Source organism: Homo sapiens, chromosome 7 (assembly GCF_000001405.40).
Source record: "Homo sapiens chromosome 7, GRCh38.p14 Primary Assembly".
Lineage (NCBI taxonomy): Eukaryota > Metazoa > Chordata > Mammalia > Primates > Hominidae > Homo > Homo sapiens.
The window spans coordinates 38,435,313-38,451,525 of record NC_000007.14 but is presented as its reverse complement, the minus strand read 5'-3'; the positions used below and the strand labels follow the sequence as shown (position 1 = coordinate 38,451,525).

The following is a 16,213-nucleotide window of genomic DNA, read 5'->3' as shown; positions in this document are numbered from 1 at the left end:
ACTTTAAGAAATAAAGATTTAAAAGATATTTTGTCCCTGGAAATCAAATCTATTCCATATAAATATGATTCTAACAAGAGATCAAGACAAAAAATAAAGCAATCATGTATGTGTGTATATACACACGTATATGTATATATACATGTGTATATACACATATATATACGTGTATATAACGTATATATGTATATATACATGTGTATATATGTGTATATACACACGTATATATGTGTGCATGTGTATATATACATGTATATGCACACATAAATATGTGTGTATGTGCAAGGTTATTTCTCTCTCTTTTTCAATTCTTGTCCTCAGAAAATGTTTTGGGGCCAGACATGGTGACTCACATCTGTAATCTCAACACTTTGGGAGGCCAAAGCAGGAGGATTGCTTGAGGCCAGGTGTTTGGGACCAGTCTAGGCAACACAGTGAGACCCTGTCTCTACAAAAAAAAAAAAAAATAGCTGGGCATGGCAGTATGTGTCTGTAGTCCCAGCTGCTCAGAAGGCTGAGAGGCAGGTGGATCTCTTGAGCCCAGGAGGTCGAGGTTACAGTGAGCTATGATCACAGTACTGCATTCCAGCCTAGGTGACAAGAGCGAGACCCTGTCTCAAAAAAAAAAAAAAGAAAGTGTTTTGGATTGGCTTTTCTTCTAACTTGATGACTGGATTTTAAATCCAATGTTCACCCTCCCTTTAGGATTATGGCCCTGAGCAAATATTTTTTGCTGGGGACCTCTTCCATATAAAAAGTTGGAGTCACTTGAAATAAGCTTATCAGCAACATTCTGATGGCCAGTCTCAGGGGTTTCCATAAGTGAAATGCCAAGCTGACCAAAAAGAACAGTCTCACCATCTTACCACTCACCCTCCTGGAAACAGGCCCCATCTTCATGCTCACAACACCTTTGTGGATAGGAGCCCTAGAGTTCCAGAAGCATATAATCGACCGTACACATGGAGTAGTGTTGGGGAGTGCTCCGAAGGGGAGATATGGCAACCAAAGCCCAGTCCTGGTACAGGCTCTCAGGATGCCCTGACCAGATGGCACTGCAGCTGCAGCTGGTCCCTTCTGCCAGAGGAAGACTTAGGAAACTGTAAGAAAGGTGCTCAAAAGCATGACGGTCCCCTTAGATTCAGGGCTTGGGGCAGGGTCCCTCTTTGCCAGAGTCTATCTTTGTGTCCAGTGGCAGAGAGGAAGAAAATATTGCCTGTCTCAGGATTTTTTCATAGCAGATACCCCCAACTATTTTTCCTAAATCTTTCTCCAACTATGATATTGCATATTTTCTCTGATCAAAGATTTCCCCTTTACAAATCCAGAGGAATTATCCCTTGAACATCCAAGCTTATTTCTCCAAGCCCTGCTTATCACGCCATAGGAATGCCTACCATGCTCCCATGCAGACATGAGCACAGCCTTTCAATCCTGAGTGTTGGGACCAATTGAGCACCATTGGCTTTTCTACCCTTATGTCTCTGTTTTCCAGCCTAATACTGCATCTTACTTGTTAAGTTCATTAAATCATGCTGTTTTCCCTAGCCAATTGAACTGAAATAGAATTCAACTTGCAGAATCAGTCCATGAAATGGTTTTTTCACCCATGTAATCCTGAGAGGCCAGCCTGCAGTTATGAACATATGCATCTCTCACTTACTGGGTATCTGTAACCTGGTTCTAAATACCACACTGGCTTTTCAACATAACATATTTCTGGACCAGCTGCCTCTTCTTTCTCTTGCTATTTTTCAAAGTAAACATGTTAACATTATTTTAAGACAGAAAGAATTAGTAAGATGAAAATTAGAAGGAAGAAAAACCACACAGTGCATTTCAAGCCCAAATTTAGTCAGTTCATTGCCCTGGTGGATTACCAACATCATTGTTCCATTCCTTGAGCAGGAGTAACCAAGCAGTGCAGTTTATGTATCATCTGGTATTCTGAAAATGTTTTAAAATCATTGGGTCATTAGGCTTCACTATCTTTCAAGGTTCTGACTCCAGAGCTGCTAACAGTGCCTAGGCTTTTTCTGTCTACAGAACAGGGAAAGCTACTAAATATCTTTCTGCAAGGTCTCATTCAGTTTAACCTTGACATCAATCCTGTGATTTACATGTCATTAGTCCTACTTTCTAGAAGAGCAAACCTGCCGTCTTTCTGCTGAACCTTGCCTCTCCTAGTGCAGAAGTGGAAAGCAGAATGCTGTAGGCTATGTGTGACAGCATTGTAAGCACCCGAAAGAGAGCAGTACCGGGCATTCAGTAAATGAACAAATCGATATCACTCTTTCTATCCTTAGTATCCAGGATGCAGGTTCTCTAGAACTCGTTTGAGTGTTGATATTAGCAAAGTTCTTCAGGTTGTTACATATCAGTGCATTATTGGTAAATACCATGATATAGTGGTAGGAGGGCCTTTACTCAACCAGTTTAGTCATCTGTCTTTCCACTAGTCAGAGTAGAACCTCATTATAAGCATAGGCCCTATCCCTCTTCCTTGCTGACTCTATTCTCATGACTGTCAGCCTTTATACAATTAGTCATAATATATGTAAAAGCAATGAACAAAACCCACGTGCTACACTAGGAATGATTTTGCAGCCTACCAACTTGTTCTAATAAAAAACAAAGTCAAAACAAAACAAAGTAGGAAAACAATTTCCTAGAAGGTCTAGTTTATTGTGTGTCAACTCATTCCTAGAGCATTTCAGGATTATGTAAATATAGGTATGCACATAAAGCAAATGTGAGAGAACAATCGATAGGTCTAGATTGTGAGTAAAGGGATCTGCATTATACTATCCTTTTAATTCTCTGTTCAGCAGTCTCCCCTTATCCACAGTTTCACTTTCCATGGTTTCAGTTACCCATGGTCAACCATGATCCAAAAATACTACATAACAGTAAGATATTTGGAGAGAGCAAGCGAGCGAGAGACTATATTCACATTCACACTACATTCACCTTTATTACAGTATATTGTTATCATTGTTCTATTTTACTGTTAGCTGTTGTCATCAATCTCTTACTATGCCTAATTGATAACTTCAACTTTATCATAGGTATGTATGTATAGGAAAAAACATAGTGTGTATAGGGTTCAGTACTATCTGTACCATTTGTGGTTTCAGGCATCCCCTGGGGATCTTGGAACATAACTCCTCCAAATAAGGAAGGACTAGTATACTACAATAAACTTTGTGGAACAAATACTTGGCAACATCATTTTAAATGACTGAACGATTTTCCATTCTAAGACTGCAATATAAAGCACTTGAACCCTGTCCATGTGCTATATGACTCACATTAACTGTAATGTACCCATCTGGAGCAATCTTGTTATAAGCTTCTAACCACGAAGGTAAACTTTCCTAGGCCACTGCTTCATTGTAATTGTTGATGAAATGCTAAAACTTTACTCACTGTTAGAAATTGTAAATTGTGACTTTTACATGAAAGGTATTTCTATTACATAAAAGATAACTTCTGATTGGCCTTGTTCCTAAAGATTTTATTTAACCTCTCTGTCTTAAGCTTCCTACTCTACCTCTTTTGCCTCATTGGGAAGTCACAAGTGTCCAGCACAATACTTAGGATATAGTAAAGGTTTTCAAAATATGTTTAATGAAAGAATAAAAGATGAAAATCTCTAGAAGAAGAAAAGATGAAAATCTCTATGCCCTCATGGTAATCTGGCTTACTATAATACTGTGTTATGATTAAAGAAATTTTGTGTATGGGTGTGTGTGTGTGTGTGTGTGTGTGTGTTTATCTGTCTGTTTGCATGCAGCCATGAGGATGATTTGGAGACTATATGTTTTACTTCTAAGTGGTTTTTTTGAGGTGTTTACAGATTTTATACATTTTATTCAAATTCTAAAGGTTAAGATCCTCAGAAAATGTGTTGTGTGTGTGCTCTGGAGGCTAGATTTCTGGGTCAATCAAATACTTGCAAACTACCTACAGATGCATCACTACTAAATGTTTTATGGCTATAGTTATATATTGAAATCTCTTTTACCTGATATGCTTATAAAAATGATGCCCAAAAGGATGCATAGTTAATGTAAAAAAATAGTAAATTACAGAGAAGCAAAAAGTAAAACTTCAAAAGTAAAAGTCTATTCCCCAGCAAAACTCACTTTTACTAATTTTGTGTGTAAAATGCCACTTTTTTCCATTTAAATAGTAACTGAAATGTGGCCGGGCGTGGTAGCTCATGCCTGTACTCCCAGCACTTTGGGAGGCCAAGGTGAGCGGATCACCTGAGATTGGGAGTTCAAGACCAACCTGGCTAACATGGAGAAATTCTGTCTCTACTAAAAATACAAAATTGACTGGGCATGGTGGCACATGCCTGTAATCCCAGCTACTTGAGAGGCGGAGGCAGGAGAATCGCTTGAACCCAGGAGGCGGAGGTTGCAGTGAGCCAAGATTGTGCCATTGCACTCCAACCTGGGCAACAAGAGTGAAACTCCGTCTCAAACAAACAAAAAAAAAAAATAGTAACCAAAATGTATATTTTTGGAAATGTGATCATTCTATGTCAGGTTTTTAATTTATGATTTTTAGTACAAATATAACAAAAGTATTTCCATGTCAATTTAGTATTTATTTTATTATTTTAAATAGCAGCAGAGCACTGTGTTAAGAGAATGTGCTATGGTAGGTTTAACCCATCTCCCACTATTAGATTTTTTTTAATGTTATTAGTAAGCTCTATTGATGTGTGATTGATCTACAATAAACTGTACATGTTTACATATGCACATATTTGATGAGTTTGCACATATGTATATACTATTAAACCATTACCAGAATCAAGATAATGAATATATGTCACCCCAAGAAGTTTAGAAGTTTTCTGAGCCACTTTTTAATTTCTCTTGCTCCTCCCCATTGGCGCCAGCATCTCTAGGCAAACACTCATCTTTCTGTTGCTATACATTAGTTTGCATTTTCTAGAATTTTATATAAATGGAATCATATAGTATCAGAAAGCATAGTTTTTGGATTACGAAATTCATTAATGTTGTAGCACATATCATTCCTCCTTATTGAGTAGTATTCCATTGTATGGATATATCACAAGTTATCTGATGGATGTTTGAGTTGTTTCCAATTTTTGACTATTATAAACAAAGGCACTATAAGCACTTGTATACAAATATTTGTGTGCATGCATGCTTTCATTTCTCTTGGGCGAATACCTAGGGATAAACTAGCTAGATCATATGTTAGGAATAAATTTAATTTTTTAAAAAATTGACAGATTTTCTGAAGTGTTTGTACCATTTTCTATTTTCATCAGCATCGCATAAGAGTTCTAGTTCTTCCACATCTTTGCCAACAGTTGGCATGGTTAATGTATTAGGCCATTCTCACATGGCTATAAAGAAATACCTGAGACTGGGTAATTTATAAAGAGAAGAGATTTAATTGGCTTATGGTTCTGCAAGCTTTACAGGAAGCATGGCAGCATTTGCTTCTGGGGAGGCCTCAGCGAGCTTTTATTCATGGCAAAGGCAAAGCAAGAGCAGGTGTCTAACATGGCAGGAGCAGGAGGAAGAGAGAGAGGAGGGAGGTGTAACACACTTTTAAACAACCAGATCTCTTGACACTCACTCACTATACAGTACCAAGGGAGGATGGTGCTAAACCATTCATGAAAACTCCGCCCCCATGATCCAGTCATCTCCCACCAGACCCTACCTCTAACACTGGGATAACAAGTTGACATGAGATTTGAGTGGGGACACAAATCCAAACCGTATCGGTTAGTGTTTTTAATTTTAGCTATTCTAGTAAGTGATAGTGGTATTTCATTTTGATTTAATTTGCATTTCCCAAATGACTAGTGGTGTTAAGTATTTTTTCATGTACTTATTTAACACCCATATATCTTCTTTGGTGAAGTGCCTGTTAAAAACTTTTTCTCGTGTATTTATTTTTTAACTGAGTTTTGGGACCTCTTTATCCATTCTGTATACAACTCCCTCATTAGATAAGATTTGCAAATACTGTCTCCCAGCATGTGGCTTTCTTTTCATTCTCTTGGCAGTGTAATTTGGAGAGTAGAAATGTTTTATTTGATGAAATCCAATTTATCCATTTTTTTCTGGATTATATATTTCATGTAACATCTAAAAGGTCTTTGCCTAACCCAAGATAAAAATCGCAAGGTTTTCTCTTAATATTTTTTAGAAGTTTTATTTTCAGGTGTTACATTTAGGCCTGTGACCAATTTGGAGTTAATTTTTTTATGTGGTACAAAGTGTGTGTTGGAATTCATTTCTTTAGAAATGAATATTCCATTGTTGAAAAGTATTCTTACTCTACTAAATTGCCTTTGTACCTTTGTGGAAAATTAGTTGTACCTTTGTGGAAAATCAGACAACCAATTATCTATCTATCTAATATATATGTATATACCATGTATATATGTGTATATATATATGTATATACCATCTATATATGTATATATATGTATATACCGTGTGTGTGTGTGTATATATATATATATATATATGTATATATATGGATATATTTCTGGACCATGTGATTATCCATTGATCTTTTAGCTTACCTTTGTGCCAGTAGCATGCTATATTGATTATTGTCATTTTATGATATCTTGAAATCAGGGTCAGTAGGGTTAGTCTTTCAACTTTGTTCTTTTTCAGAGTTGTTTTGGCTATTCTAGGTCCTTTGAATTTCCATATGAACTTCAGAATCAACTGTAAGTTGATATTGTATTATTTCCTGGGCTGCTGTACCACAACTGAGTGGCTTAAATACAAAACCCCCCACAAAAAAATTCTCTAACAGTTTTGGCTGCTAGATGTCTGAGATCAAGGTGTCAGTAGGGACATGCTCTCTCTGAAGGCTCTAGGGGAGAATCAATCCTTTCTTCTCTCCTAGCCTCTGGTGGTTGCTGAAAGTCCTTGGGGTTCCTTGGCTTGCAGATACATCACTCCAGTACTCCAATATGCACCTTGGTCATCACATGGCATTTTCCCTGTGTGTCTGTGGGCTCTGTGTCTTCACATGGCATTCTCCTTGCGTCTACATATCCAAATTTTCCTCTTCTTACAGGGCCACCAGTCATTGGATTAGGACCCACTCTAATCAAAATCTTTATTTTATTACATTGGTTCAGACCCTGTTGTCAGTTAAGGACACACTTACAGGTTCCAGATAGGCATGAAATTTGGGGGGTGGGGGAAAATACTATTCAAAGCAGTACAGATATTGAATCATGTTGCACCGAGTCTATAGATCAATGATATGTGAGTCATCTGACGCATAGACGCAGTATATCTCTCCCTTTATTAATGGTCTTCTCTAATTTCTCTCTGCCATGTTTTACAGTTTGCAATGTACAGACATTATACATCTTTTGTTGGATTTATCCATAAGTATTTTATATTGTTATTATAAATCATGTTTTTAAATTTGTTTTTTCTGGTTGTTCACACTATTGTCTATAAGTACAACTGGTTTTTGTATATTGATGCTGTGTCTGCAGCTTTGCTAAACTGAATTATTAGTTTCTATAGCTTTTTTGTAGATTTTATTGGATTTTTCTATATATATTATCATATCTTTTATGAATAAAGAAAGTTTACTTCTCTCTTTGCAATCTCGGTGCCTTTTATTTATTTTTCCTACCTTATTTCATTCTTGTACCACCAGAATAATATTGAGTAAAAGTAGTAAAGCAGTCACCCTTGTCTTGATCTTAGAGGAAGAGCATGTAGTATTTCACTTTTAAACATGGTGTTTGTTACTTGTAGGTTTTATTAGATGGCTTTTATCAGATTGAGGAAGTAGCCTTTTATTCCTACTTAAAGAGTTTTAAACAGGAATTAATGTGGATTTTCTCAAATGCTCTGCTGCATCTGTTAAGATGATCATATGAGTTTTCTTTATAGTTTGTTAATATGGTGAATTATACTTATTGGTTTTCCAATGGTAAACCATCCATGAAGTCCTAGGATGAACCCCATTTGGTGATGATATGTTATCCTTTTTATCTGTGTATCTTTTAGTCAGCTTGCTAAAGCTCGGTCTAGAATTTTTACATTCCTGTTCATGGGGAATATTAATTTATAGGTTTTTTTTAAGAAAAGGGTTTTTATGATTTAATACTAGGGTAATGGTATTGAATGAATTGAACTGAAAATCAATTGCTGGTTAAGTTTGTGTTGGTATTATTTGTTGCTTAAAGGTTTGATAGAATTCATCGGAGAACTCATCTGGGCTCTGTTTTGTTGTGTTTTCTTTTGTTTTGATATATTTCTATATAATAGATATAGAGCAGTTCAGGGTATCTATTTTTCTTGAGTGAGATTTTTGTATTTGTAGTTTGTGTTTCTCATGAAATCTGTCCATTTCATCTAAATTGCCAAATGTATTTGGAGTACAGTGGTTCATCATATTTACTATTATTTTTTGATATCTCTAATATCTATGATGATGTTTCCCTCTCTCATTCCTAATATTGGTAATCTGCATCCTTGTTCACTCTCTCTTTTTACTCCAATTAGACTGGCTAAATGTTGATTAATTTTATTGATCGTCTCAAATAACTAGCCTGTGGTCTTATTGATTCTCTCTTTTTCTTGTTCTCACTCTGTCTTTTGTTTTCTGTTTCACTGATTTCCACTCTAATCTGTATAATTTCCAGTTTCTACTTTGGGTTTTATTGCTCTGTTTATGTTTTTTTTTTATATTCAGGGTAAAAAGAAGGTGAGGTTAATAATTTCGGACCTTTTTGTTTTCTTATATGGGAGTTTAGTGCTATAAATTTTCCGTAAGTACTGCTTTAGCAGCATCCCATACATTTTGATATATTGTTTTCATTTCCATTCAGGTTTCCAATTTCCACTTTGATTTCTTTTTTGACTCATTGAATTATTTAGAAGAGTATTATTTGTGGATTTTGCAGAGATCATTTTGGATGATTAAAATATTTGTGGATTTTCTAGAGACCATTCTGTTAACAATTTCCAATTTAATTCCAGTGTAGTCAGAGACCATACTTTATGTGGCTTGAATGTTTTTAAATTAGTTGAAGGCAGAAGTGATTCAGTGACAGTTTTTTCCAGCTGGGACACATGGGGTCTTAAAACAAAGGATAGACTACCAGGGAGAGGAGGAAGGCTGTATCTCACTTGATGAAGCCACTAGGACAAGAGTGGACTGAGTAAGCATATGGCAGCCACCTTCATGCTGTACTCTTTAACAGGGCAAGTTTTTATTAAACTTTTAAGTTCAGGGGTACAAGTGTAGGTTTGTTGCATAAGATAAACTTGTGTCATGGGCGTTTGTTGTACAGATCACTTCCTCACCCAAGTATTAAGCCTAGTACCCATTAGCTATTTTTTCTGATCCTCTCCCTTCTCCTACCTTCCACTTCCAATAGGCCCCAGTGTGTGTTGTTTCCCTTTATGTGTCCATGTGTTCTCAACCTTTAGCTCTCACTTGTGAGAACATGTGGTATTTGGTTTGCTGTTCCTGTGTTAGTTTGCTAAGGACAATGGCCTCCAGTTCCATCCATGTCCTTGCAAAGAACATGATCTCATTCTTTTTATGGCTGCATAGTATTCCATGGCGTGTGTGTGTGTGTATGTATATGATATATATATGATATATATGATATATATGATATATATGATATATGATATATATGATATATGATATATATGATATATATATGATATATATGACAGATATATGATATATATCATATATATGATATATATATGATATATCTGTCATATATATCATTTTCTTTATCCAGGCCTTCATTGATAGGTAGTTATGTTGATTCCATGTCTTTGCTGTTGTGAATATTGCTGCGACAAACGCACAAATGCATGTGTCTTTATAATAGAGTTATACTGGGAACTTTAGCATTGTCTCTGGTGTCTGTGCAAGAAAGAGGTTCCATTGTGTTTATTTGTTCATTTGTTTGTTTGTTTTTGGAAATAAAATCTCAGATAGGACCTTTAAAAAAGAATTAGTTGAGACCTATTTGATGACCCAGAATACTGCTTATCATGTTACATTTCCATGTGCACTTGAAAAGAATATATATTCTGCTGTTGTTGGATAGAATGTTATAAGTGTAAATTAGGTCAAATTTAGTCACAGTGTTATCTAAATCTTTTATACCATTGCTTATTTTCTCTCCATTTGTTCTTTCAATTATTGAATGAGGAATATTGAAGTCTTTCCTATAAAAGTGTGTGTGCTTTTTTATTTTTCTTTACAGCTTTCTTGGTTTTTGCTTTATGTTGAAGCTCTCTAATTGAGTGCATAAATGTTTAGGCAATGATCCTCTTTATCCATGACAATATTCTTTGATTTGAGATCTACTTTTTTTATTGTTAATGTAATTACTACAGCTTTCTTTTTGTTAGATTGGCATGGTGCATCCTTTATATCCTTTTACTTTGAACCTATTTGTGTCTACATACTTCAAGTTAGTTTCTTATAGACAGTATCTAGTTGGGTCTTGCTTTTTTGTACAATTAGATAATCTCTGCCTTTTAATTGCATGATTTAGACTATTTTCATTTAAGGTTATTATTCATATGGTGAAGTTTAAATCTAGCACATTGATCACTTGTTTTCCATTGTCTCTCTGTTCATTTAACCCTTCCATTTCTGCTTTCTTTTGTATTAATTGAACATTTTTTATTCTCTTTAATTTTCTTTATTTACTTATTAGCTATAACATTGTTTTGTCATTTTAGTTGTTACTTTAGGGTTTTAGTGTACATTTTAATTTATCACAGTCTAACTTTCAATTATATGATGTCATTTAAGGTACAGTATAAAAATCTAATGATAATATACTCACATTTCTCCACTTCTGTTTTTTATGCAATTTTTGTCATTGATTTTAGTTTATCTACGTTTTAAACTTCACATTATTTTGTTATTATTTTTGTATAAGCAGCCAATTATCTTTTTAAAAGATTTAAATAATAAAAACTCACATATAGTTACCTAGGCAGTTACTATTTCTGGTTCTCCTCCTTTGTGTAGATGCATAGTTCTGTTATCATTTTTCCCTTGCCTGAAAGATATCTTCCACATTAGTTGTAGTGTGTATATGAGGGTGATGTATTCTTTCTGATTTTGTTTGTCTGAAAATCTTCATTGAATTTTTATTTTAGAAAGTATTTTCAAGGGGCATATAATTATAAGTTGGCAGTTTCTTTTTCTCAGTACTTTGCCTCACTGTCTTTTTGCTTCATTATTTCTGGTGAGAAATCTACTGCTACCTTCATGTTGTTCCTCTGTTAGTGAAATGTCTTCTTTTCTCTGGTTCTTTTTATGAATTTATCTTTAACACTGATTAGAAAATTAGATTATGATTGGTCCACATGTGCTTCATGTGTCTCTCATTCTTTTTGGACTAGCAGCTATGCAAGGCTCTACTTTTCACGGTGAATGGCGGAATACAAACCAACCAACCAAACATGCAAGCACATTTCCAGCCTTTGTTTGCATTACATTAACTAATATCCATTAGCTAAAGCATGACATATGGTCAACCCCACGTAAGGGATGGGGAAGTAAAATCCATCTATCACGAAGCCGTGGCAAGGCTAGGCATGCCGATTATGCTCAAATTGCACATCTGCACTGGAAGAGGTCCGGTACTTTACTGATAAACTTAGATGTCCCAAGTAGAAGACACCTCATGAAACATAGTACAGATGATTATAATTGGCAATGTTTTCCTATTGGAAGATTTTCTCCCACTGTGGTTTCCACAGCTGGTCTCCTTTCTTAGGAGCACATTCCAAGTCACCCCTTGTAGATTTCTGATGGTAAAGCAGTACTTACAATCAAGTTCCCAAAAAGCTAAGAATGTTGAGACCATACCATGTGTACTCTAATTGTGATGAAGGTGTACAGGATTCATTTGTCTTGTTAAGGAAAATTACACTTTTCTGTGTTTCAACATGTGGTGACAGAGTTGTGAGTACGTTCCTGCCCTTTTAAAAAGGAATACTATATAAGCTGGCAAAATCCTTTTGCTATGTTTGTAGCTTTACCAGAATATTCTTTGACATGAGTACCTTAAGGGATAATTCTCAAGATTAAGAGGGCAAAGCTAAGTAGAAGTTGAGCCTGAAAAAACCAGCCACATATTTTGAAGGCAGTCCAATTGGCATTATGGATATTTGATGACAGTAATTTTACATATTCACATGTTGTATTAGTCCATTTTCACACTGCTATAAAGAATTGCCTGAGACTGAGTCATTTATAAAGAAAAAAAGGTTTCATTGACTCACAGTTCCACATGACTAGGGAGGCCTCTGGAAACTTTCAATCATGGCAGAAGGTTATGGGGAAGCAAGGCACATCTTAAATGGTGGCAGGAGAGAGACAGCAGGGGGGAAGTGCCACACTTTAAAACCATCAACTCTCATGAGAACTCATTCACTATTGTGAGAACAGCATTGGGGAAACTACCCCCATGATCCAGTCACCTCTCACCAGGTTCCTCCCTTGACCAAACATGGGGATTACAATCTGAATGATATTTGAGTGGGGACACAGAGCCAAACTATAATCACATGTATGCATTGTTGCTAATGGTAATTAATAACATTAGCTTCCATTTCCATTTTGAGTATTTCCTAGACATTACGTACATGTGCATTTATCATCTTTACTACTCATGGTAATCCTATTAGGTCTTATTAATCCCATTTTATTCATGAAGAAACCGAGGCTCAAAGAAGCTCAATTAATTGGCCAGGGAGAGACAGCTAGCAAGTGGTAAAATTGGGGTATAACCACAGATTGATCTCAATCAAAGTCTGAGCATAGCCCATTATAGTCTGATGCCTCATTTCATCCTTCATCTCTAAATTCCCATTTGAGCTTCCTTAAGGGGATTCATTATGCTTAAAAGGAAATAATGAATATATTCCCATGACCTAAAATTTTATGGAGAACTTGCAGAACTTTGAGAATTCCTCTGCAGATTTTTGGGGTTCCTAATTAAGAAACTTGGGTCTGGGGCATCAGTTGACAGCCTGGCAGGCATTGGAGTCAGAGGTACCAACTACAGTCTTACCTCTGCTACATGGCAGCTGGGGGCCATGACAATAGATCACCATTCAGCCAATTCTCTTCATTCTCCCAAATGGAGAATTGCTGCCATCTCTCCCTCAATTTTTTGTAAGGATTATATTTGAAAAGGCAGGTACAATGCAGTCTGGAGAACATGGCAAGATAAATGCTTTAAAGGCAATAAAGTGTTGTCAACATTAGATTGCACCAAAGTGTGTTAACATGAGGTAATGTTCATATGTGTAAAGTTCTTCGAACAGTGCCTATCATACTCCAAGTATAATATGTTTACTACATTTTAAAAATATAATTTTTACCTACATAAAAGTTGGGGAAAAACAAAGCTTATGCAGATTTTGAATAGGGAATCGGTTGATAGTTTTGTGATTGTAATTAGTAAAGAAAGTAGAGCTCTCAGAAGGGCATTATCCTTGTGAAATTTTTAAAAAGTATATATGGGGAGTTACTGTGCTGCAGAATAGAAAATGCAAGGCTAATAGCATGACATATTAGCAGCTTTCTTCTGCAATGAGTACGGATATGCTAAGGAAAGTATTTAGGTTATACCACCTCGCTTTTCTTTATTTTTATTTTTTTTATTTTTGGGGGGGAATGGAGCCTTGGTCCATCACCCAGGCTGGAGTGCAGTGGCATGATCTCAGCTCACTGCAACCTTCGTCTCCCAGGTTCAAGCGATTCTCCTGCCTCAGCCTCCCAAGTAGCTGGGACTACGGTCATGCACCACCATGCCCAACTAATTTTTCTTTTCTTTTTTTTTTTTTTTTTTGTATTTTTAGTAGAGACAGGGTTTCACCATGTTAGCCAGGATGGTCTCAATCTCTTCACCTCCTGATCTGCCCACCTCGGCCTCCCAAAGTGCTGGGATTACAGGCATGAGCCACTGTGTCTGGCCCTCACTTTTCATACATTTCTCAGTTTTTAATGTCTGTGATGAATATTAATTAGAATAACTCCTATTCTTCAAAAATCTGTCTCCAAAAATCTGTTTTTATGTATACTTTACCCATTGGTTTGACGTTTCAATTTCTAGGCAACAAAGTTTTTTTAAAAAGAATTTTATATTGAATGCTAAACACATGTAATTTAAATTGTATGAAAACTGACCCCAACTCCCTTTTCTGTGATGTACTTTATGGGACTTTGTCTTAGCCTGGCCCTTTACTGTGTAACTTGAGCCTGGGTTATGCTGACTTCAAGCCCACATTGTTTTCATGTATTATGATACCACAAATAAATGAACAAATGATAATGTTTAGTATTATAGATTTTTTTGTATTATCAAAGCAGGACTTTCGTCCTGTGTCTTATTTGGCTTACCTTCTTTCTAATCCAAAAATATTATTAATGGGAGCTCATTTTGCAGCAAATGTTGGGAGGCATGGCTGTCTCTCTCCTCTCTCCCTCCCGTTCACCCTCACTCATACACATACACAATTGAAACTAACAATGCTATGGATGAAGACTGGATCAAATGATAACCAAATCAAGGGGTAGGGTACCAGTGAGGGAATGAGGCCGTTGGGATGTGGTCAGCAGTACACAATGGCACCTTCCTTTTAAAATTTTAGCTTCCCAGAAGAACATCAGCAGTATTGCTATAATGAGTCCAGATCTTGGCCCATTTTATCGATTGGGTCATCTGTAATTTCTTGATCCAAGTTCTCTGAGCTGACAGAGGAGACTCCTTGCATCTTGGTATATTAGGATACATCCTTGGAACATTCTCTCTGTTGACTGGACTTGGAGCTAGACAAAGGACAAGAGCTAGAGCCTGGGACACATTCCAGGGCAACTTAGGTTATACTTGGCCAGAGTTAGTTATTTCCTTCTCACTGCATTTAGCTGAGTGACTGGGTGCATATGGGTGAGCCACCATGCTTATAAAAGTGTGTTTTGGAGATACTCAATAATAATATTAGAGAGAGTATACATGGGCTATATCATGGTCTTATCAGATTCAAGCTAATACATGTTTTATTTTGTTTTGTTGTTTGCTTTAACAGAATGAAGTCCCTGAGGTGAAGAAAGAGGAGACTTTGCTGGATCTGGACTTTGATCCTTTCAAGCCCGAGGTGACACCTGCAGGTTCTGCTGGAGTGACCCACTCACCCATGTCTCAGGTATCAGGTGCTTTTTGGATGTTTGGAGATATTTCATAAACCTCAGTAAGCTCAGTGTGGTAACCAATGATCCCTATACCTTTCATGACTACTATCTATTTTTATTTTTGGTTGACAGATATTTCCTAATAGGAAAGAGGGGTAGAAAGGGGACCTTATCTATATCAGTTATTCTAAGACTCCCATGCCATCAGCTTTCTCTACCCATAGAGCTGGCATAACCATACATTCCTGTTTTCTCCCCCAGAGTAATTGTTACCAGTGCCCACGTTGCACTCAGAACTGTTCAGGTTTACAGGATACATTTTATGGTTTCCCTGGATGAAGCTCTTTCTTTTGGTTTTGGGTTTACTCTTCTTGCTCTTTTCTCTACTTCCCTTCCTCATACTTTGCAAGTTAAAGTGTGTTTGCAATGACCATGAAAGCACGGGCCAGCAGAAGCCGTTTTCAGTGTTGATCGTTCTGAACTTGATGATGCTGTGTTCATCCTCCCCATTGAAGAAGCTCCCCTCCTGTGATCATGGTTATGGTTTGATGGAGAGTCGCCTTGCTTCCCCAAGCCTTTTTGCTCACCACTCCCTCACACTCCATATTTCTTCCTTTCTTATAGTAACTGTCATTACATTCTCTGTCAGAGGATACTGGTGGTAGGTGCCATAATGACCTGTGGGTAGGTCCTCTGAAATATAGTTAGTTTACAACTGTCTGTGCTAATAGAAGGAAGTTAACTCAAAATTTGACAAAACAGAAACTGTTTATATAAGTACTTTGCATATGGTTGGAGCCCCACATATGAATTTAGGCAAATCCAAAGTTGCTAGAGTATGCTTCAAATGAATTAGTACAAGAATATTGTAACATTCAACCTAGGAATTAAGACCTAGCTTGATTCCCTGGCCTTGAAGCCTTCTTGGTATATCACAGTAAACTGCTAGGGAATAAATGGCTCAATATGAACC

The 16,213-nt window shown here is 36.5% G+C and overlaps 1 protein-coding gene across 8 annotated transcripts in view; it reads left to right on the top strand.

The window, feature by feature from the left end:
* The window catches only part of AMPH (amphiphysin), a 247,670-nt gene that overhangs the window by 179,848 nt on the left and 51,609 nt on the right, over positions 1–16,213 (top strand). For all 8 annotated transcript variants that reach the window (XM_006715690.5, XM_011515271.4, XM_017011996.3 and 5 more), the window contains exon 12: positions 15,138–15,254. In XM_006715690.5, coding sequence (XP_006715753.1) covers positions 15,138–15,254 — 117 coding nt within the window. The remainder of the gene's footprint in view (positions 1–15,137; positions 15,255–16,213) is intronic.